A 23,096-nucleotide genomic window follows, 5' to 3' on the forward strand; every position below is an offset into this window, starting at 1 on the left:
TGTCTCAAAAACAAGAAAGAAAAATTATTTTTCTGGCTCAGGATCCAATCCAGGATCACACACTGCACTTAGTTGAGAAATCTCTTTAGTTTCTTTTAATCTGGAATAATTCCTCAGTCTGACTTTGCCTCCCACGATCCTTTGTCACTTGAAGAATACAGGCCAGATATTTTGTATGAGGTTCTTGTTTTAGGTTTATCTGTTTTTTCCCCTCATGATTAGATTCAGGCTATACATTTTTGGCAGGAATATTCTAAAACTGATGCTGTGTTCTTGGTTTATTAAATCAGGAGGCACATTACTGACTACTGGTGATGTTAATTTTTATTTTTAGGTCAAGGTGGTGTCTGCCAGTTTTCCACTTTAAAGTTATTCTTTGTCGATTTTTAGTTAATAAGTATCTTTTTTTTTTCTTTTTTTAGAGACAGGGTCTCACTCTGTTGCCCAGGCTGAAGTGCAGTGGCGCAATCATAACTCACTGCAGCCTCAAATTTCCGGGCTCCAGTGATCCTCCCACCTCATCCTCCTGAGTAACAAGGACTACAGGCACGCCACCAGGCCTGGCTAATATTTTATTTTTGTAGAGACAGGTCTTGCTATGTTACCCTGGCTGATCTCCAACTCCTGGCCTCAAGTAATCCTCCCAACTTGGCCTCAGCCTCCCAAAACTCTGGGATTATAGGCATGAACCACCATGCCTGGCCAATAAGTATCTTGTGGGGAGATATTTTGAGACTATATCCTGTTCCTCATAAAACTTTTACCCACTAATCTTAGCATCCATTGCAAAAATTACAAAGTCTTTCATTGAAAAAGTATACACAAGCCAATGGTTAAAAAATTCAAAACAATACAGTGAACAAGTATGTATACATACTCACTTTTTGTTGTATAAAAAAAGAGAAATAGAGTGAATAGTATAGTGAAAAGTAAATCTCCTGATATTAGATCCTCAGGACCCTTCCTCCTGTTACTTGTTTGTGTCTTTGTGGTAGACACGATGCCATATGATACTGAACCTCATTTCATTTCCTTTTTTCTGGGCATAAAGGATGACAACATTTCCTGTCCTGCTTTGCGGTGAGGCTGAGACCATGAGACTAGTTCTGGCTCAAGGGCTATGAACAGAAATGATATTGGGCACTCTTGGGCCAAAGCATTTAGTGCCATTTTATGTCTCTCCAGCTCTCTCTTCCCCTGCTGCAGCAATTGTGAAAGCCACGCATTTAGATGGTGAAGCCACAAAATGGAAACAGCCTGGATCCCTGAGTCACCAGATGCAGAAACAGCTGCCCTGAAAAGTTGTCCATCTTGCACTATACATGCCCATGTACGAGAAATACAAGCCTTTTCTGGCCGGGCGCGGTGGCTCACGCCTGTAATCCCAGCACTTTGGGAAGCCGAGGCGGGCAGATCATTTGAGGTCAGGAGTTCGAGATCAGCCTGGCCAACATGGTGAAACCCCGTCTCTACAAAAAATATAAAAATTAGCCAGGCATGGTGGCAGGCGCTTGTAATCCCAGCTACTCAGGTGGCTGAGGTAGGAGAATCGCTTGAACCTGGGAGGCAGTGGTTGCAGTGAGCCGAGATTACACCATTGCACTCCAGCCTGGGTGATAAGAGCAAAACTCTGTCTCAAAAAAAAAAAAAAGGCCTTTTCTGTGGTTAAGAAATGAGAATCAAGTTTAAGATATTTGAGATTTTTCTTTTTATTATTTTTTTCCTTAGAGGTAATTGTGGGGTGGAGGTGGGGGTCTTGCTATCTTGCCCAGGCTGGACTCAAACTCCTGGGTTCAAGCAATCCTCCAGTCTCAGCCTCCCAAGTAGCTGGGACTATAGGTACACACTACCACACCAGTTTCTTTGAGATTTTTGTACATCGGGATATATAGCTCATTCTTTTTAAGATTTGCCAAGTGTTCCATTGTATGACTATAATATATTTAGGAGGTACATTTCTTTAATTTAAATTTTTGAATTGATATTATATACCATATGGTTTTAAATTAAAATGGTTCAAAAAAGTATATATGTGAAAAATTCTCACTCTCATTGCTGCCCTGAGCCAATAAATTCCCCACCAAAGGTAACCAATATTTCCTGTTCCTTATGTGTACTTCCAGAGTTATGTCATACATAGGATATTTAAAGGAACCTCACTCGTCTCAAGTTTGGCCGAGACACCAAAACAATAAGGTCACACTTCAAAGTTACGGGCAAGTCCACCAATACAGGATTTGCAAAAGAAGATTATAGAAAACCAATTTTCATGCCGGGCGCGCTGGCTGACGCCTGTAATCCCAGCACTTTGGGAGGCCGAGGCAGGTGGATCACGAGGTCAGGAGATCGAGACCATCCTGGCCAACATGGTAAAACTCCATCTCTACTAAAAATACAAAAATGAGCTGGATGTGGTGGTACGTGCTTGTAATTCCAGGTACTTGGGAGGCTGAGGTAGGAGAATCACTTGAACCCAGGAGGCAGAGATTGCAGTGAGCCAAGATAGTGTCACTGCACTCCAACCTGGCGACAGAGCAAGACTCCATCTCAAAAAAAAAAAAAAAAAAGAAAAGAAAACCAGTTTTCAATCTTCATTCACTACCCATCCGCAGCCTGCAAAAGATGTTGAAGAGATTGAAAAAAAAAAAGACTCAAGGTTTTAGAAAAAGCTATTGCTGAACTGAGTCACTGAGTCATTGCCTCCAACCTCATCCTAAGGGGTACATGCCCCTCACCTCACACTAATAAAACGAATTTTACTGGGATCACATAGTAGAATATGTGTTTCTTCGTCTTTGAGAGGCACAGTGGGCTGAAGTCTGAGTTGTCTGGGATGTGTAAAGGGTTAAGGGTTAATGCAGGCATCCTGTGGGGTAGAGAAGAGGTTGCGATTTGGGATATAGCAGCACTTGCAACAATGGGTCAAATGAACATATTTTCTCTAATCTAAGTATGATACAAACATGCAAGAGCTCTGGAGAAGCATTGCCTTGGATCCTGTTCAAGAAAGCTGCCTGGAAAGTAAGTGGACTTCAGCAGAAGGAAGGTGGAGGCGTAGCACCAGATGCCTAGAGTCTCGAGAAAGAATTGTAAATAAACAACTGTAAAAGCCATGTATTCATCTATGCAGGAGAAACTGCAGGCCAAGTGTGGTAGCTCATGCCTGTAATCCCAGCACTTTGGGAGACCAAGGCGGGCAGATCACCTGAGGTCAGGAGTTCAAGACCAGCCTGGCCAAGATGGTGAAACCCCGTCTCTACTAAAAATACAAAAATTAGCTGGGCGTGGTGGTGGGCATCTGTAATTCCAGGTACTCAGGAGGCTAAGGCAGGAGAATCACTTGAACCCAGGAGGCAGAGGTTGCAGTGAGCCAAGATCGCACCACTGCACTCCAGCTTGGGTGACAGAGGGAGACCTCATCTCAGAAAAAAAGAAAGCTGCCGGGAAAGTAAGTGGACTTCAGCAGAAGGAAGGTGGAGGCGTAGCACCAGATGCCTAGAGTCTCGATAAAGAATTGTAAATAAACAACTGGAAAAGCCATGTATTCATTTATGCAGAAGAAACTGCAGGCGGGGCACGGTGGCTCATCCCTGCAGTCCCCACACTTTGGGAGGCCAAGGCAGGTGGATCACTTGGGGTCAGGAGTTTGAGATCAGCCTGGCCAACATAGTGAAACCCCAACTTAAAAAAAAAAAGAAACTGCAGAGATGAGATCCCCAATGATGGGAGGAGGAAGCTTTAAGGAACTCAGAAATACAGCCCACATACAAAAAGAGTAAGCCTTAAACACCTGCCAGAGTACAGATGCCATTCATGACAGTACTAGTCAAGTGTGAACTTTACCGTCTCCTTTATTACTTTCTCCATATGTTCCAACCTTAACAGGCCTTATGGCTGTGTGATTCATTCACTGCTAAAGGGTGCCTAAATGAAGGCGCATATGGTGGCTGCAACCCAGTCTGGGTTCCATTCTCCAAACTGTATGCCCTGGCATGGGGTTTTATCTATTTGGAATAAGAGCAGTGTTTTCCTAATTCACACAGAGGTACAGTTCTCTCACCATGGGGCTGCATACACCCAGAAGGGGAACATATTCCTAATCTACAGAGGCACCAGATGGACTAGCAGCCACCCAGTTTGGAGGGTCTCAGAGACAGTGACTAGCAAGAGGAGGAGAGGAGGGGAAGCACTGAATGAGGAAGGAGCTGAGCTGGCCACACACTCCTTTTCCATAGTAGGTAACCCACCTCGTAGAGGCCCAATCTGGGAAAGAGGGTGGAGCCTCTGTATAAATGAATTTTACAGTAATGGATGTTAGAGGGGGCTGGAAGTTTTTTTTTTATCACTTAACTGATATTATTTGGGAAACTAGCATGACAGGAGAACTTTTTTTTCTTTTTCTTTTTTTTTTTTTGAGACAGAGTCTCACTCTGTTGCCAGGATGGAGTGCAGTAGTGTGATCTGGGCTTACTGCAACCTCCGCCTTCTGGGTTCAAGCAATTCTCCTGCCTCAGCCTCCCAAGTAGCTGGGACTATAGGTGTGTGCCACCACGGCCAGCTAATTTTTGTGTTTTTAGTAGAGACAGGGTTTCACCATGTTGACCAGGATGGTCTTGATCTCTTGACCTCATGATCCACCTGCCTTGGCCTCCCAAAGTGCTGGGATTACAGGCGTAAGCCACCTCACCCGGCCAGGACTTTTTTTTTTTTTTTGAGATGGAGTCTCTCTCTGTCACCCAGGCTGGAGTGCAGTGGCGTGATCTTGGCTCACTGCAACGTCCACCTCCTGGGCTCAAGCGATTCTCCTGCCTCAGCCTTATAAGTAACTGGGATTACAGCATGTGCCACCATGCCCAGCTAATTTTTGTATTTTTAGTAGAGATGGGGTTTTGCCTTGTTGGCCTGGCCGGTCTCGAACTCCTAACCTCAGGTGATCCACCTGCCTCAGCCTCCCAAAGTGCTGGGATTACAGACATGAGCCACTGCGCCCAACCTAGGAAGACTTTTAATACTTATGAGTAACCAGAAAAGTTGAGGGATTTGACCATGGTTTCACCTAAGGGGGCACGGGAAAACTAGCCCCAAAGAATACATTAAAAGGCCAGTGAAAGATGAAAGTTAAGATTTTTCTGATTCATACGCGGTAGCGGAGACTCCCTACTAATAGGCATTCTATCCTTTAGGCACAAAGCTAGGCTCTGTTTCCCAGCATACATTGCAGGTTGGTATAATCTTTTGTTTTGTTTTGTTTTGTTTTGAGACAGAGTCTCGTTCTGTTGCCCAGGCTGGAGTGCAGTTGCTAGATCTTGGCTCACTGCAACCTCCACTTCCCAGGTTCAAGAGATTCTCCTGCCTCAGCCTCCCGAGTAGCTGGGATTACAGGCGTGCACCACCACACCCGCATAATTTTTGTATTTTTAGTAGAGATGGGGTTTCACCATGTTGGCCCGACTGGTCTCGAATTCCTGACCTTAAGTGATCACCCGCCTTAGCCTCCCAAAGTGTTGGGATTACAGGCTTGAGCCACCACGCCCAGTTGGGTATAATCTTTTTATTAAATTTTTTCCAGTGAAATGCAAAACAGGTTTGGGTTAATACGATGGGTATGACTTGCAGAACTGGCCTATAACTGCACCCCCACCCATAACACTCTTCTATTTTTTCCCACCTTTTGCCAACTTAAAGTAGATGATGACAAGGGCTCAAGTGATGACAGATAGAAACCTGGGTCTGTGGATGATGGCAAAGAGGAGAGCTGCCCCACCAAGCCAAACAACTGTCCAAGACTACTATGTGAACGGGAAATAAACCTCTATTTTGTTAAGGCATTATATTTTAGTTTTGCTCATGTTAAAAGAATCACAAATCCTTCAGATCTAGAAAACAAAAGTAGAATTCATTTCTTGCTGGGCAAGGGAGAACTGCAAAGATACATGTAATCCCTGTGAACAAAGTAAAAAATAGGTTTATATGGGATTTTAGGAAAATATAAGTGATTGGTTTTGGCTCAAAGTGAGTAGGGTTAGTCACTGATTAGATAGGTTTCAAGAACAGGTGACCTATTGATGTAAGGTTTGATGACTGCAGGTGATTCAGCCCAAGACTGATATTGATTCATCTTATAGTTTCCTGTGTAAATGCCTGCAGACATCAGCTAGGTTCTTCAGGCAAGAATGGAATTTTCTATTGTCATCTCCCATTTTGCCCCTGCTTGACAGGTCATGGAAGAGGCCATTAAATATTGTCTAGAACAGTGGTGGGCAACTGTTTTTCTGTAAAGGGACAAAACGTAAATATTTTAGGTTCTGTGAGCCCTACTGACTCTATCGTAACAACTTAACTCTGCTGCTGTCACACAAAAATAGCACAAATGATTCGTAAATGAATAGGTGTGGCTGTGTTTCAATAAAACGTTACTTAAAAAAACAAGTGGTGGGCCAGACTTAACTCATTGGCCATAGTTTGCTAGCCCCTGGTCTAGAACTCTAGATGTAGTCCACTGACATGGTTTTCCTTCGGGGGTGAAATGGTGGCTGTGGTGATCATCATGATTTCATTTTGTTTTTGATTCAAGATCATCTGTTGCACCATCTGATGAGACAGCCAACACACAGTAGAGTTTAAAATTCTGGACACCAGCTAGACAGTATATAAATACAACATTAAAATATATGCCAGGCACAGTGGCTCACGCCTGTAATTCCAGCACTTTGGGAGAACGAGGTGGGCAGATCACTTGAGGTCAGGAGTTCGAGACCAGCCTGGCCAACATGGTGAAACCCCGTCTCTACTGAAAATACAAAAATTAGCTAGGCGTGTTGGGGGGCGTCTGTAATCCCAGCTACTAGGGAGGCTGAGGCAGGAGAATCTCTTGAACCCAGGAGGCAGAGGTTGCAGTGAGCAGAGATCGCATCACTGCACTCCAGCCTGGGCAACAGAGCGAGACTCTGTCTTTTTTTTTGAGACAGAGTTTCGCTCTTGTTGCCCAGGCTGGAGTGCAGTGTCGCAATCTTGGCTCCCTGCAACCTCCGCCTCCCAGGTTCAAGTGATTGTCCTGCCTCACTCAGGCTCCCGAGTAGCTGGGATTACAGGCATCTACCACCATGCCTGGCTAATTTTTTGTATTTCCAGTAGAGATGGGGTTTCACCATGTTGGCCAGGTTGGTCTCAAACTCCTGGCCTGAGGTGATCCACCCGCCTTGGCCTCCCAAAGTGCTAGGATTACAGGTGTGCCCGGCCGGAGACTCTGTCTTTAAAAATACACACACACACACACACACACACACACACACACACACACACACAGGACTAGATTTTTTTTTTTTTTTAGAGTCAGTCTCACTCCATCACCCAGGCTGGAGTGCAGTGGTGCGATCTCAGCTCACTGCACCCTCCACCTCCTGGGTTCAAGCAATTCACATGCCTTAGCCTCCCTAGTAGCTGGAATTACAGGTGCGCCACCACACCCCGCTAATTGTTGTATTTTTAGTAGAGACGAAGTTTCGTCATGTTGGCCATGGTGGTCTCAAACTCCTGACCTCAGGTGATCCGCCTGCCTTGGTCTCCCGAAGTGCTGGGATTACAGGTGTGAGCCACCATACCCAGCCTACAACTAGTAGAATAAGGAAGGACTGGAAAGTGCACCAAAATCATGATCCAAGTTTTCACAGATTAAACCCTCTTTTTGACCTGAAGTATGGGGATAAGACAAAGAAATGTTTTTTGTTTGAGATAGAGTCTCATTCTGTCACCCAGGCTGAAGTGCAGTGGCATGATCTCAGCTCACCGCAGCCTCGAACTCCCAGGCTCAGGTGATTCTCCCACCTCAGCCTCCTGAGTGAGTAGCTGTAACTACAGGTGTGCACCACCAAGCCCAGCTAATTTTTGTACTTTTGGTAGAGATGGGGTTCCGCCATGTTGGCCAGGCTGGTCTCGAACTCCTGGGTTCAAGGGATCCACCTGCCTCGGCCTCTCAAAGTGCTGGGATTACAAGTATGAGCCACCGTGCCTGGCCCAGACAAAGGAATATTGACCAGGTTGTTATCATTTGAAATTTTTTGAAGTTTCTCTAATCTCTTTGCTAATGTTGAAAATCTCTGAGACATCTTGGGAAATACAAGTGCAATATTTTCCTTTAGCACAGCACAAGTTCCTTTTGGTGAGATAAGGAGAATATGTCATGGGCGCTCTATTTTGGCTGACTGCCTTCTTGCAATAAGTCTAAAGCTTAGAAGGTCTTTGTTAAGCTTTCAGTCATTTGTACAGTCATAAACTTGAAGAATTCTCTCAAATATATGTGCCCCCTGTAAAGCATGGTGTGAAGCTGTCTGGGGACAAAAAAAATTTCAAAATTCTCTTATGCCAAGGTTTAATTGCTTGTAACAGAAATGAAGGGACCGGATGCAGTGACTCATGCCTGTAATTCCAGCACTTTGGGAGGCCAAGGCGGGTGAATCACCTGAGGTCAGGAGTTCGAGACCATCCTGGCCAATATGGTGAAACCCCACTCTACTAAAAATACAAAAATTAGCCAGGTGTGGTGGCACACACCTGTAATCCCAGCTACTTGGGAGGCTGAGGCAGGAGAATCGCTTGAACCTGGAAGGCGGAGGCTGCAGTGAGCTCAGATCATGCCATTGCACTCCAGCCTTGGCAACAAGAGTGAAACTCCATCTCAAAAAAAAAAAAAAAGAAAGTAATGAAAGGGTTTCCCTTTAGGCCCGGTACAATGGCTCACACCAGTAATCCCAGCACTTTGGGAGACTGAGGTGGGAGGATTGCTTGAGCCCAGGAGTTTGAGACCAGCCTGGGCAACATAGCAAGACCTCATCTCTACAAAAAACGTTTAAAAGTTAGCCTGGCACGGTGGCCTACGCCTGTAGTACCAGCTACTCAGGAGGCTGAGGCAGGAGGATCACTTGAGCCCAGAAGGTCAAGGCTGCAGTGAGCCATGTTTGTGCCACTGTACTCCAGCCTGGGTAACAGAGAGACCCTTTTTTTTTTTTCTGAGACAGTCTTGCTCTGCCACCCATGCTGAAGTCCAGGGGCACGATCTCAGCTCACTGCAACCTCCACCTCCAGGGTTCAAGCAATTCTTCTGCCTCAGCCTCCCGAGTAGCTGGGACTACAGGTACGCACGCCACCACGCCCGACTAATTTTTGTATTTTTAGTAGAGACGGGGTTTCACCATATTGGCCAGTCTGGTCTCAAACTCCTGACCTCGTGATACGTCCACTTTGGCCTCCCAAAGTGCTGGGATCACAGGCTGAGCCACCGTGCCCAGCTGAGACCGTTTTTTTAAAAAAGGATTTCTCTTTAGATAATTTTGACCAAAAGGGTCTAGGAGTGAGGTCCTGAATTATTATTATTATTATTATTATTAAGGGTCTATGAGTGAGGTCCTGAATTATTATTATTATTATTATTATTATTATTATTATTATTTTGAGACAGGGTCTTGCTGTGCCCAGGCTGGAGTGAGTGGTGTGATCTTGGCTCACTGCAACCCCAGCCTCCTGGGTTCAAGTGATTCTCCAGCCTCAGCTTCTCAAGTAGCTGGGACCACAGGCACCACCATGCCCAGCTAATTTTTACATTTTTAGTAGAGATGGAGTCTCGCCATGTTGCCCAGGCTGGTCTCAAACTCCTGGCCTCAAGCAATCTGTCTGCCTTGGTCTCCCAAAGTGCTGAAATTACAGGCATGTGCCACCGTGCTCGGCCATGAATGATTCTTAATACAGGAATCAGTTGCCATAAATAGAAACATATCACCAATTTTCAGGGAGTAACCAGGAGTTCTTTATTCCACAAAGCAAGTACCACTCATTAGGAGTCACCTAGGAACTGGGTTCAGGCCAGGAAAATCCAGAACTCTCATTATGGATCCTGGCAAAGATAATGAATCTGAGTCTACTTCACTTTAAAACTAACTTAAAATATCTGAAAATAATGCTTTGGTATGCCTTTGTGGTAAGAGTTGTACAGGTTATGCATTTTTTAAGATAAACCATACCAGTGATTCTTCCCCTGGGCTGTCAGTGCTACAAAAATTTGAACACACGAACTGGTCCCCACCTTAGGCCCTTTAGTTTGATTTCTGTGTAAGCAAAAATGTCCTACTTTAGGCATGACAATATTGGTATTGGTGGCTTAGAAATATAAGGTTTGTGATGGTGATTATCAGTAATTATGTTAAGAGTTCATAATAACTTCATTCATTATGAAGTCATTGATATCACTTGAGGGGATTACTACCCAAAAGAATTATACAACCTAAAGGGAAGTGAGTGCAACCCAGCAACTGAATCTGGCTAGACTGTGGGCTAACTGTGGATAAGTAATTGTTGTATAGGAGGAGTTTACTAAAGGCAAGAGTATCAACAACAGAAACAGGAATAATAAAAAGCCCGTATACAGTAGACACAGTGGCTCACACCTGTAATTCCAATACTTTGGGAAGCTGAGGTGGGAGGATCTATTGGGCCCAGTAGTTCAAGACCAGTCTAGACAAGATGGTGAGACCACCTGTCCCACCCACAGTCTCTACAAAAAGTTTTTAAAAAATTAGCCAGCTGTGGTGGTGTGTGTCTGTGGTCCCACCTACTTGGGAGGCTGATGCAGGAGAATCCCTGGAGCCCAGGAGTTCAAGGCGACAGTGAGCTATGATTGCACCACTGCACCATTGCACCACTGCACAGAGCTAGACTCTATCTCTTGGGGGAAAAAAAAAAAAAAAATATATATATATATATATATATGATCTTGTAGTATGCTACCTTCCCTTCTGGGTAAGAAATAAAAGGGGGAAATAAGAAAATACACATGTATATATTCATTTGTGCAAAAAGAAACACATGACAAACTGGGTTCAGTGGCTCACAGCTGTAATCCAAGCACTTTGGGAGGCCAAGACAGGGGGATCACTTGAGCCCAGGAGTTGTAGACCAGCCTGGGCAACAGAGTAAGACCCCATCTCTACACAAAACTTAAAAATTAGCCAGGTGTGGTGGCGCACACCTATAGTCTCAGCTACTCGGGAGACTGAGGTAGGAGGTTGAGCCTGCAGTGGGCCATGATCACACCATTGCACTCCAGCCTGAAGAACAGAGGAAGACCCTGTCTCCAAGAAAAAAAAGAATGGGCTGGGCGCGGTGGCTCATGCCTGTAATCCCAGCACTTTGGGAGGCTGAGGCAGGCGGATCACCTGAGGTCAAGAGTTCGAGACCAGCCTGGCCAACATGGCGAAACCCCGTCTGTACTAAAAATACAAAAATTAGCCAGGCTTTGTGGTGCACACCTGTACTCCCAGCTACTCAGGAGGCTGAGGCAGGAGAATCACTGGAACCCAGGAGGCAGAAGCTGTAGTGAGCTGAAATTGCACCACTGCACTCCAGCCTGGGCGACAAGAATGAAATTCTGTTTTTAAAAAAAGAAAAAAAAAAAAGAATGAGGCTGGGCGCAGTGGCTCACACCTGTAATCCCAGCACTTTGGGAGGCTGAGGTGGCGGATCACTTGAGGTCAGGAGTTCAAGACCAGCCTGACCAACATGGAGAAACCCCATCTCTACTAAAAATACAAAATTAGCCGGGCATGGTGGCACATGCCTCTAATCCCAGCTACTTGGGAGCCTGAGGCAGGAAAATTGCTTGAAGCTGGGAGGCAGAGGTTGTGGTGAGCCGAGATCGCACCATTGCACTCCAGCCCGGGCAACAAGACCGAAACTCCGTCTCAAAAAAAAAAAGAAGAAAAAGAAAAAAGAATGATAGTGACATGTCAAAGTAACACAGAAGGCAGCTTGAAAAGGTAGCCAGATCTGCCTGTAAGAGATTAGAATCAAGTATGGGTGGAGGGACTCCTAGTTATATGGGCCTGCCTGCCAGTGGCCGAATCAGAGGGAGACAGTCTATGGGTTCCTGAATGGGCAGAACACAGAGTCATAGAGCAAAGGACAGTATTTAAGGCCATGGGAACTCAAGTGTGTCTGATAATTTAGTTAATTTAAGCTTAGTACTCCTTTTGTGGTTTTGACTTTTCTAGATGATTGAGAGTGGTAAGGAGCACGAGGCTTTGACATGACAGGCAATGCTTTACATAGCTCAAGAATGATTGCCCCAGTAAAATAAGTTTATCTATCATTACACAATTAAATTAGAATAGCTCCTGTAGGGAATACAAAGTCCATTAGTTTCTTAGCCACTTTGAGTGTCTCAAAAAAAAAAAAAAAAGAGTTTTAATCACCTCATGGTTCTGCAGGCTGTACAGGAAGCATGGCAGCATCTGCTCCGCTTCTGGGGAGGCCTCAGAAAACTTACAATCATGACAGAAGGCAAAGCGAGATCAGGAGGCTTACATGACAGAAGCAGTACCGAGTGTGGTGGGGAAGTGCCATGTACTTTTAAACAACCAGATCTCATGAGAACTCACTATCATGATGACAGCACCAAGGGTGATGATGTTAAACCATGAGAAACCACCCCCATGATCCAATCACCTTCCGTAAGGCCCCACCTCCAACATTAAGGATTACAATTGAACATGAGATTTGGGTGGGGACACAGACCCAAACCATATCACCCCCACTGCGGTAAACTGTTCTATGGAGAGCTTTTGTAAGTGTTCGTTTGAACTTTTCTGGTGCTACATGGAGGCTGTCCTCATGGATCTTATAACCCAATAGTGTGCATAGATGATGGAATTCTTGAACCTCTCCATGGGCTCATCATCATTCTGTTGCTAAAAGAACTCACTTTTAAAGACTTCAGACAGAGCAACTTATAAGTATAAAGATCTGCTAAAGCATTTCTTCTCATTTTTTTAAAGTGTGGGCCTCTGCTTAATGACAGCAATTTCCAAGACATCATGAAACTCATTTATTTGTTGTCTATTTTTAACAGGGATACCAATTGAGAAGGAAAATTTTCTGTTTCTTTCCATGGTATTCTGAAGCCATGGCCCATGAGTCAGAATGTTCATGTGTGTTAGTCATTCCTTGCTGTGTTTAACAAGATATAGTAAGAGATAAGCTCAGGTAAGAACATACTGACTTGCAGGTGAAAGGAAAAGGAATAGAAGGAGTCCAGCAATGGAGCCTTGTAGGGTTGGAGAAGCTGCTGAACCCCAACAACAGGAAAAAAGACTGAAAAGGCTTTGAGAAACACAGGTCCACTAAGGTATTTCAATTAAACAGAGGAATTCAGCACTACTGCAAAGAACAGTTTAAAGGTGTTTTCTCTTACCTAAACCTATTGTTTCCTATGGCCTCACTGTAACTGCCATTAAGTTGAGAGAGAGAGGCATGGAGTGAAGAAAGAAAGAGATAAGCAAAAGTTGATATTTATGTCTTGAAAAAAATCCAGCCTGGCCAACATGGCAAAACCCCGCCTCTACTAAAAATACAAAAATTAGCCAGGTTGGCCGGGCGCGGTGGCTCACGCCTGTAATCCCAGCACCTTGGGAGGCTGAGGCAGGCAGATCACGAGGTCAGGAGATCGAGACCATCCTGGCTAACATGGTGAAACCCCGTCTCTACTAAAAATACAAAAAATTAGCCAGGCACGGTGGCAGGTGCCTGTAGTCCCAGCTACTCGAGAGGCTGAGGCAGGAGAATGGCGAGAACCCGGGAGGCGGAGCTTGCAGTGAGCTGAGATCGCACCACTGCACTCCAGCCTGGGTGACAGAACGAGACTGTCTCAAAAAAAAAAAAAAAATTAGCCAGGCATGGTGGCAGGCACCTGTAATCCCGGCTGAGGCAGGAGAATCACCTGAACCCGGGAGGTGGAGATTGCAGTGAGCTGACATGGTGCCACTGCACTCCAGCCTGGGCGATGGCATGAGACCCTCTCTTTAAAAAAAAAAAAAAAAAAAAAAAAATATATATATATATACATATATATATATATATATATATATATATGTATATATATATATGTATATATATATGTATATATATACATATATATATATATGATGGCATAAGACCCTCTCTTTAAAAAAAAAAAAAAAATATATATATATATATATTTTTTTTTTGGCACAAGATACTGTTGTGGCACAAGATACTGTTTGCTTTGAGGCAAATCGATCCAAAAAGTTTCTGAGTGAACTGTATTGCCAAAAAATTCCCCAGCCTGGTCCGAATAAATAAGTAAAACCATAAAGTAACACTTGGAAATCCAAAGTTGCACCATCAGGAAGGAGGCTTTCAAGGCTGTGTAGTTCCCAAGGAGGACAGGCACCCCACTTCACACAAAGCCAGGAAGAACAATGGCTGAGGAAGAACTTGCCAGAGGGCAGAACAAGGGTGGAAGGAGAACAATGCCAGGATAATTTTTCCTAAAGAGCAAAATCTGGTCTAATCTAGGAAATTCATCCACTGCCAGGAAAGGATGTCTTCATAATGCATATCTAGCAGAACTCCATAATTGCTTTGGACAGGAAGGTTGGGTTTTTCCCATTCTCCCTTTTCCAAATAGGATTTGCTATTGCCCTTTTCCTGTCTCTGCTTCATCATTGTAGATGGGCAGGTGGGTTTATTGGGGTGGGGAGAAAGTGGCAACCACTTGGCTTTTAGTTCATAGATTGCTAGACCATGAGGAAATTCACTCAGGCCAATTACAGAAGACCACAATCCAGATTCTGATATGAATCCTATAAATGAATGGAAGTTTTTGTCATAGCTCTTGGGAGAAGGGTGAATATGAGATTTGCTGGTCAGAGAGGCTGACTGTAGCAGCGACCCCTTGCTATCTACCAAAAGTCATTATTCTCTTTAGGCACACAACAAGACTGTTTCCCATACTCCCATTCAATTTGAGTGTGGTCATGTGACGGTTTTCTCCAATGTAATGTGAGTGGAACCAATGTGTGTCACTACCTGATCCAGGGGATAATAGATGGACAGCTTCTGGGCCCCTTAATGAAAAAAGTGGAGGAGAGTGGCCCCATTGACCTGAATATCCGCCCGGGACTGTTAGGTGAGCAAGAAATTAAGTATTTTACTGAGTCATATTTTGGATCTATTTGTCACAGTAGTTTAACCTATTATTAACTGATACACACCCCATGAGTCATGCTTGTTCAACATGACTATATATGCATATCCTTTTAAACAATAATTATTAATGGTAACATACTAAACACCCTGTAGTGAACCTTGTTTTTTTGTTTTCTGTTTTTTTTTTTTTTTTTCATTAAATTTCCTGCTAAGTGTTCTGTATCAGTACATTAATAACTCCTTTGCCGGGCGCAGGGGCTCACACCTGTATTCCCAGCACTTTGGGAGGCCAAGGCAGGCGGATCATGAGCTCAAGAGATCAAGACCATCCTGGCTAACACGGTGAAACCCCATCTCTACTAAAAGTACAAAAAAAAAAAAGCCGGGCGTGGTGGTGGGCACCTGTAGTCCCAGCTACTCGGGAGCCTGAGGCAGGAGAATGACGTGAACCTGGGAGGCGGAGCTTGCAGTGAGCCAAGACTGCGCCACCGCACTCCAGCCTGGGTGACAGTGCAAGGCTCCGTCAAAAATAAATAAATAAATAAAATAACTTCTTTGTTTTTATTTTCTTTATTTTTGCTTTTTTTGCGGGGGGCGTTGGCAGGGGAGACAGGATCTTACACTGTTGCCCAGGCTGGAATGCAATGGTGCCATCATAGCTCACTGCAGCCTAAACTCCTGGGCTCAAGTGATCCTCCCACCTCAGCCTCCCCAGTAGCTATGACTACAGGTGTGGACCACCATGCCCAGCTAATCTTTTAGTTTTTGTAGAGACAGGGTCTTGCTTTGTTGCCCAAGCTGGTCTTGCATTCTTGGCTTCAAGCGATCCTCCCACCTGGGCCTACCAAAGTGCTGGGATTATAGGAGTGAGCTACTATGTTTGCTTTTTGAATAGCTTAAGTACCACATGTTATTTTGCCCGTTCCCTACTGATGGACATTTAGTTTGTTAACAGTCCTTTGCTATTGTCCTTGGTTCAAGTTCTTTCTTTCCTTCCCTCCCTCCCTCTTTCTCTCTCTCTCTCTCTCTCGTTCTTTCTTTTTAATGGAGTCTCGCTTTGTCGCCCAGGCTGGAGTACAGTGGCACCATCTAGGCTCACTGAAACCTCTGCCTCCCAGGTTCAAGCGATTCTCCTGCCTCAGCCTCCCAAGTAACTGGGACCACAGGCACCCGCCACCATGCCCAGCTAATTTTTGTATTTTTAGTAGAGATGGGGTTTCACCTATTGGCCAGGCTGGTCTCAAACTCCTGACCTTGTGATCCTCCCACCTCAGCCTCCCAAAGTGCTGGGATTACAGATGTGAGCCACTGCACCTGGCCGATTCAAGTTCTTTCAATTGGCACTCTGCAAATGCAAAAGACAGGTCAGCTACATGTCCAGCATTATCTAGTTCTATTCTTTAATTTAGGACTTCCCTTAGATTCTTTTAGCCAAGTTGCAAAGATAATATGCTCTATTGATTCTCTGTGGTCTACTATTGTAAAATACATATTGAAAAATAAACTCAAGTGATTACAAGTCCAATACTTACACAGGTAGGAGGACTATAACATGGTGACCTAACAGCATGATTACAATGAGACAGCCCTGGGTTCAAATCCCAGCTCTACTACCTATAACATGTAACTTAACCTTACACAATTTACTGAACTGTAAGCATCCATTTTCTCACCTGTTAAGTGGTGACTATTGTGAAGATTAAATGATAATGAAGTGCTCAGTACATGATATTCAGTTAACAAGTACTGTAGAATTTTTCTTACTACGTAACTTTAAAAAATTACCAAAGAAAGCCAAAATTAAGGCCAGGCACGGTGGCTCACGACTGTAATCCCAGCACTTGGGGAGGCCGAGGCAGGTGGATCATCTGAGGTCAGGAGTTCGAGACCAGCCCGGCCAATATAGCGAAACCCTGTCTCTACTAAAAATACAAAAATTGGCTGGGCGTGGTGGCTCACTCCTGTAATCCCAGCACTTTGGGAGGCTGAGGAGGGCAGATCACGAGGTCAGGAGTTCGAGACCAGCCTGACTAACATGGTGAAACCCCGTCTCTACTGAAAAAAAAAAAAAATTAGCCATGCGTGGTGGCGGGCGCTTGTAATCCCAGCTACTCAGGAGGCTGAGGCAGGAGAATCGCTTGAACTCGGGAGGCAGAGGTTGCAGTGGGCCAAGATTGCATCATTGCACTCCAGCCTGGGCGACAGGGTGAGACTCCGTCTCAAAAAATAAATAAACAAATAAAATAAAAATAGAAAAATTAGCCGGGCATGGTGGTGCATGCCTGAAATCCCAGCTACTAGGGGGGCTGAGGCAGGAAAATTGCTTGAACCTGGGAGGTGGAGGTTGCAGTGAGCTGAGATCGTGCCACTGCACTCCAGCCTGGGCAACAGAGCGAGGCTCCGTCTCAAAAAAAAAAAAAAAGAAAAAGCCAAAATTAAACTTTAGTCTGAAGATGGGACATGTATCATAACTGTCTTTATTGTTAAGATAGGAAATAGGGGCCAGGTGCGGTGGCCCATGTCTGTAATCTCAGCACTCTGGGAGGCCAAGGTGGGCAGATCACCTGAGATCAGGAGTTCAAGACCAGCCTAGTCAACATAGCGAAACCCTGTCTCTACCAAAAATACAAAAATTAGCCATGCATGGTGGTGGGCGCCTTGGTTTTCAAAAGGTTAAATCATTGTTCAGTTTTTTCAAAATGATTTTATTTTACATACTTCTCTGCAACTTGCCAGTCTCTCTCTCTCTCTTTTTCTTTTTTCTTTTTTTTTTTTTTTTTTGAGACATGGTCTCACTATGTTACTCAGGCTGGAGTGCAGTGGCATGGTCATGGCTCACTGCAGCCTCGACCTCCTGGGCTCAAGCAACTCTTTTACCTCAGCCTTCTGAGTAGCTGAGACTACAGCCACCATGTCCAGCTAATTAAAAACTTTTTTTTTATAGAGATGGGGGTCACGCTATGTTGCCTAGGCTAATCTCCAATTCCCGGGCTCAGGTGATCCTTTCGCCTCAGCCTCTGAAAGTGTTGGTATTACAGGCGTGAACCACCTCTCCCAGCCTGCCAATTTCTTTTCTTTTCCTTTTTTTTTTTTTTTTTTTTTTTTTTGAGACAGAATCTGGCTCTGTCGCCCAGGCTGGAGTGCAATGGTGTGATCTCAGCTCACTGCAAATTCCTGGCTTCAAGCAATTCTCCTGCCTCAGCCTCCCAAGTAGCTGGGATTATAGGCGCCTGCCACCACTCCCAGCTAATTTTTGTATTTTTATTAAAGATGGGGTTTCACCATGTTGGCCAGGCTCTTCTTGAACCTCTGACCTCATGATTCACCTGCCTCCGATCCCAAAGTGCTGGGATTACAGGTGTGAGCCGCCACACCTGGCTGCTAATTTCTCTTTAAATTGTACTGCTGACATCTTCTCAGTCAGTAGAAGTATATCGACTTCATTATTTTTAATACCTTTAGTCATTTTTTTTGGTAATCATTCATTTTTAATAAAGAGGGATTCTTCAAATTTTTTGGTTCTTTTTTTTTTTTAAGGGAGTCTCGCTCTGTTGCCCAGGCTGGACTGCAGTGGCGCAATCTCGGCTCACTGCAACCTCTGCCTCTGGGGCTCAAACGATTCTCCTGCTTCAGCCTCCCAAGTAGCTGGGACTACAGGCATCTGCCACTACACCCAGCTAATTTTTGTATTTTTAGTCGAGACAGGGTTTCACCATGTTGGCCAGGCTGGTCTCGAATTCCTGACCTCAAATGATCTGCCAGCCGTGGCCTCCCAAAGTGCTGAGATTACAGGCGTGGGCCACCGCGCCCGGCCTCAAATTTTGTGATTATTCATTTAAATTTTGTAATCAAACATTAGGGTGACGTGTTGGAGCTGATCCCATACTGTAGGTTCAGGAAATACAGTCATTGCAGACATCATCATTAACGTTAAAGCAAGCAACACAGAGGCTTCTCTCTTGGGACTGAGAAGGGAAAGAGGTGTAGGAAACATATACAAATGTAAAAACTATTCTCCTAGTACTTGGCTTCTGGAAGTGAAACTGAAGGACTGTACTGTCCATATTAGGAAATGACTGGCTGCTGGATGACCACAGTGTTAAGCTTTTTGTCCCTTTTTGTGGGGAGAGAGATGAAAGGGAATTGGTCAGGAGGACATCAGATCAGTTAGCTTTATAATCAATCTCTTCTCTTCCAACACAATCTCAGTAGAGTTATAAGCATTAGGAAATCAAACTTTCACTTTAATTAGAGAGATTGAAAATCTGGCTCCATTTTTAAAGGTGAGGGTTCTAAATTGTATTCCTAAATGATGTTAACTATTGTTCCCCGAAATTGCATCAGGGTTAAAAATTTGTGTTGAGGTTGGTTTGAATTAATCTAAATATTCAACATGTGCTCTTGCCATAAAGCAGAAAGCAAAGGCCTGAAGTAGACAAGCTTTTTAACCTTTCTGGCATTTCATAGATTTCACCTTAATAAAATTCTGAAAACTCCCATTATAGTATAATTAGCTTCCTTTATTTTATTTATGTATTTTTTTGAGACACCTGTGTAGGTATCTGTGGACACATTTATGAGAATCGGTTGGCCCTGCAACTCTCCCAGTCAAGCTCACTGCCAGGCTAACTTTGGCTTGTGTACCTTCTCCTCTTAGTTTCACCAATACTTGACAGAGTCTGGCTCAGCACAGCTCTATGGGATGGAGGGCCAGATGGCTCCCAAAGAGCCCTGACCAGAGGCACAGGCCTGTGACCAGGTGTCCTATTCTAGGACAGATGGCTTGAATTGCCTCCTGCTCCCTTTTGCTCTGACAGTCTCTGGGACTACTGAGCGCTGGGGCCACTACAGAAATTGGATGATGCTTTGCAAAGATGGCTTTTAATTAAGTATCAGGGAGAGTGAGACAATCCAATATTTTCAAAGATGAGTCACTCTGGGATTGGCCTTTTTGCTTGCCTTAGAGGTCTAACCTCTTCCATTCACAGGTGAGAGACAGAACAATGTAGTCAAGTCAGTTCATCAGCATGTTGGCAAATCGGAGTCCCAGGCTTGGAGAAGACCTTTGCAGTGAAGGCATGTGGAAAGAGAATGTGGCAAGAGAGCAGCTATCTTCAGGGGAATGTTGGTCTGCCCACTGCCAGGAGGGCTTGTTACTCTGAAAAAGTTTTCAAAGTTTACCTTTGAGCCTCAGTAACTAGGTACTGGCATTTCCCCAGGGTTTAGTGGTTAGTGGAGGCTGACACTTCACATAACCCAGGTCACCAGACACCAAATACCAATTGTCTGACTTAAAATACAAACAGTTCTATGAAAGAGGACACCCAGTAGTCAGCCTGATGGTCGTATCCCCTACCCACAGGAAAACACACTGAAAGCCCACTCAGGCTGCAGATACGTTACTGACGCATCCACCACCACAGCTAGAGAGATACCCTCAGGAATGTGTTGACTTGATATACCTCCTTGCTGGGCCCCCTAGTCACATTCTTTCTTTACACAAGTTAATACCATTTACTCAGCAGAGGCTTTACACATGCTAATAGAGGCTCCTCAGGCTACACCTTCATCTCAGGACAAGTGGAAACCTTAATCATCTGGTTTCATTTTAATTTTCCATGACAGTAAAAGGTACAGTGACTACAGGACAGTCCTTTCCTGCCTTCCTGGGGTAGTTAATCCTAAAAAACCTCTTGTGGGGCAATTCAAGTTGAAAATGTAATCAGTACTTAATTTCAATGGGAAAACATTTTATATGTGCACAGTGTCCCAAAATTAACACCCACTCATGCTAAAACATCAAATCTCATTAAGACAGACACAATTACATTAACAATTACACTGGCTATCATAAACAAAACTAAAGGCATTTTCCCTTCATTAGTTATGATCTCATTAGTTACGAGATTATTATCCCATAATATGGCCATTTACCCGTTGTTTCTTAGCTTTTATGCACTGTACATTTAAGACTAAATTTAGGCCAGGCTCAGTGGCTCACACTTGTAATCCCAGCACTTTGAGATGCCAAGGCAGGTGGATCACTTGAGGTCAGGAGTTCAAGACCACCCTGGCCAACATGGCGAAACCCTATCTCTACTAAAAATACAAAAAAAAAATTGGTCAGGCACGGTAGTTCACGCCTGTAATCCCAGCATTTTGGGAGGCCAAGGAGGGCAGATCCCAAGGTCAGAAGTTCGAGACCAGCCTGGCCAATATGCTGAAACCCCATCTCTACTAAAAATACAAAAAAAAAAAAAAAAAAAAATTAGCTGGGCGTGGTGGCGCCCACCTGTAGTCCCAGCTACTTGGAAGACTGAAGCAGAAGAATCACTTGAACCCGGGAGGCGGAGGTAGCAGTGAGCCGAGATTGTGCCACTGCACTCCAGCCTGGCAGCCTGGGTGACAGAGCGCGACTCCATCTCAAAAAAAAAAAAAAAAGGTCAGGCCTATCCCAGTACTTTGGGAGGCCAAGGCAGGCGGATCACTGAGGTCAGGAATTTGAGACCAGCCTGGCCAACGTGGTGAAACCCTGTCTCTACTAAAAATGCAAAAATTAGCTGGGTGTGGTGGTGGGCACCTGTAATCCCAGTTACTCGGGAGGCTGAGGTAGGGGAATTGCTTGAACCCAGGAGACGGAGGTTGCAGTAAGCCAAGATCGCACCACTGCACTCCAACTTGGGTGACAGAGCGAAATTCTGTCTCAAAAAAAAAAAAAATTAGCCGGGTGTGGTGGTGCACTCCTGTAATCCCAGCTACTCGGGAGGCTGAGGCAGGACCCGGAAGGTGGAGGTTGCAATGAGCTGAGATCGACAGAGAAAGACTCCGTCTCAAAAAAAAAAAAGATATATACGGCCAGGCGGCTGGGAGTTCGCGACCAGCCTGACCAACATGTAGAAATCCTGATTCTACTAAAAATACAAAATTAGCCAGGCCTGGTGGCACATGCCTGTAATCCCAGCTACTCAAGGGGAATCGCTTGAACCCAGGAGGGCAGAGGTTGTGGTGAACCAAGATCCTGCCATTGCACTCCAGCCCGGGCAACAAGAGCGAAACTCCGTCTAAAAAAAAAAAAAGACTAAACATGCAAAACATACGTAAAAAATGATGTCCAATGTTTATACAACTTAACCTTTTTTTTTTTCTGAGACAAGGTCTCATTCTATTGCCCAGGCTGGAGTGCAGTGGCATGATCATAGCTCACTGCTCAAGTGATCCTGCCTCAGCTTCCCATCAGAGTAGCCAGGACTACAGGCATGCACCACCATTCCTAGCAGTTTTTAAAAACTTTTTTGAGGCTGGGCACGCTGGCTCATGTCTATAATTCCAGCACTTTGAGAGGCCGAGGCAGGTGGATCACTTGAGGTCAGGAGTTCGAGACCAGCCTGGCCAACATCGTGAAACCCCATCTCTACTAAAAATACAAAAATTAGCTGGGTGTGGTGGCAGGTGCCTGTAATTCCAGCTACTCAGGAGGCAGAGACAGAAAAATTGCTTGAACCCAGGAAGCGGAGGTTGCAGTGAGCAGAGATTGTGCCACTGCACTCCAGCCTGGGTGACACATTGAGACTCCGTCTCAAAAAAAAGAAAAAAAAAAAATTCTTTTTCAGGCCATGTGCAGTGGCTCACGCCTGTAATCCTAGCACTTTGGGAAGCCGAGGCGGGCGGATCATCTAAGGCCAGGAGTTCGAGACCAGCCTGGCCAACATGGTGAAACCCCATCGCTAATAAAAATACAAAAATTAGCCAGGCGTGGTGGTAGGTGCCTGTAATCCCTGTTACTCAGGAGGCTGAGGCAGGAGAATCACTTGAACCCAGGAGGCAGAGGTTGCAGTGAGCTGAGATCAGGCTATTGCACACCAGCCTGGGGGACAAGAATGAGGCTTCGTCTCAAAAAAAAAAAAAAAAAAAAAAACCTTTTTGTAGAGACAGGGTCTTGCTATGTTGCCCAGGCTGAACTTGAATGCCTGGCCTCAAGTGATCTTCCCATCTAGGCCTCTCAAAGTGATAAAATTATAGGCAAGAGGCACCGAGCCTGGCCTTAACCTTTGTTTTAAAAAAAGAGTAACAAGGGCCGGGCACAGTGGCTCACACCTGTAATC

The 23,096-nt window shown here is 44.7% G+C and overlaps 3 annotated features.

Annotated features, from left to right (window-relative positions):
- Window positions 953-1,002: an enhancer, noted in NCBI's record as "active region_9779". NCBI's record gives its function as "activates an Ori minimal core promoter by ATAC-STARR-seq in GM12878 lymphoblastoid cells {active_cell/tissue: GM12878}" and the evidence as "EXISTENCE:reporter gene assay evidence [ECO:0000049][PMID:35858748]".
- Window positions 1,313-1,372: an enhancer, noted in NCBI's record as "active region_9780". NCBI's record gives its function as "activates an Ori minimal core promoter by ATAC-STARR-seq in GM12878 lymphoblastoid cells {active_cell/tissue: GM12878}" and the evidence as "EXISTENCE:reporter gene assay evidence [ECO:0000049][PMID:35858748]".
- Window positions 20,469-20,669: a silencer, noted in NCBI's record as "peak2387 fragment used in MPRA reporter construct". NCBI's record gives its function as "represses an SCP1 promoter by STARR-seq MPRAs in K562 erythroleukemia cells {active_cell/tissue: K562}" and the evidence as "EXISTENCE:reporter gene assay evidence [ECO:0000049][PMID:32103011]".

The sequence above is a fragment of the Homo sapiens genome, chromosome 15 (assembly GCF_000001405.40).
Source record: "Homo sapiens chromosome 15, GRCh38.p14 Primary Assembly".
In the NCBI taxonomy this organism is placed as follows: domain Eukaryota; kingdom Metazoa; phylum Chordata; class Mammalia; order Primates; family Hominidae; genus Homo; species Homo sapiens.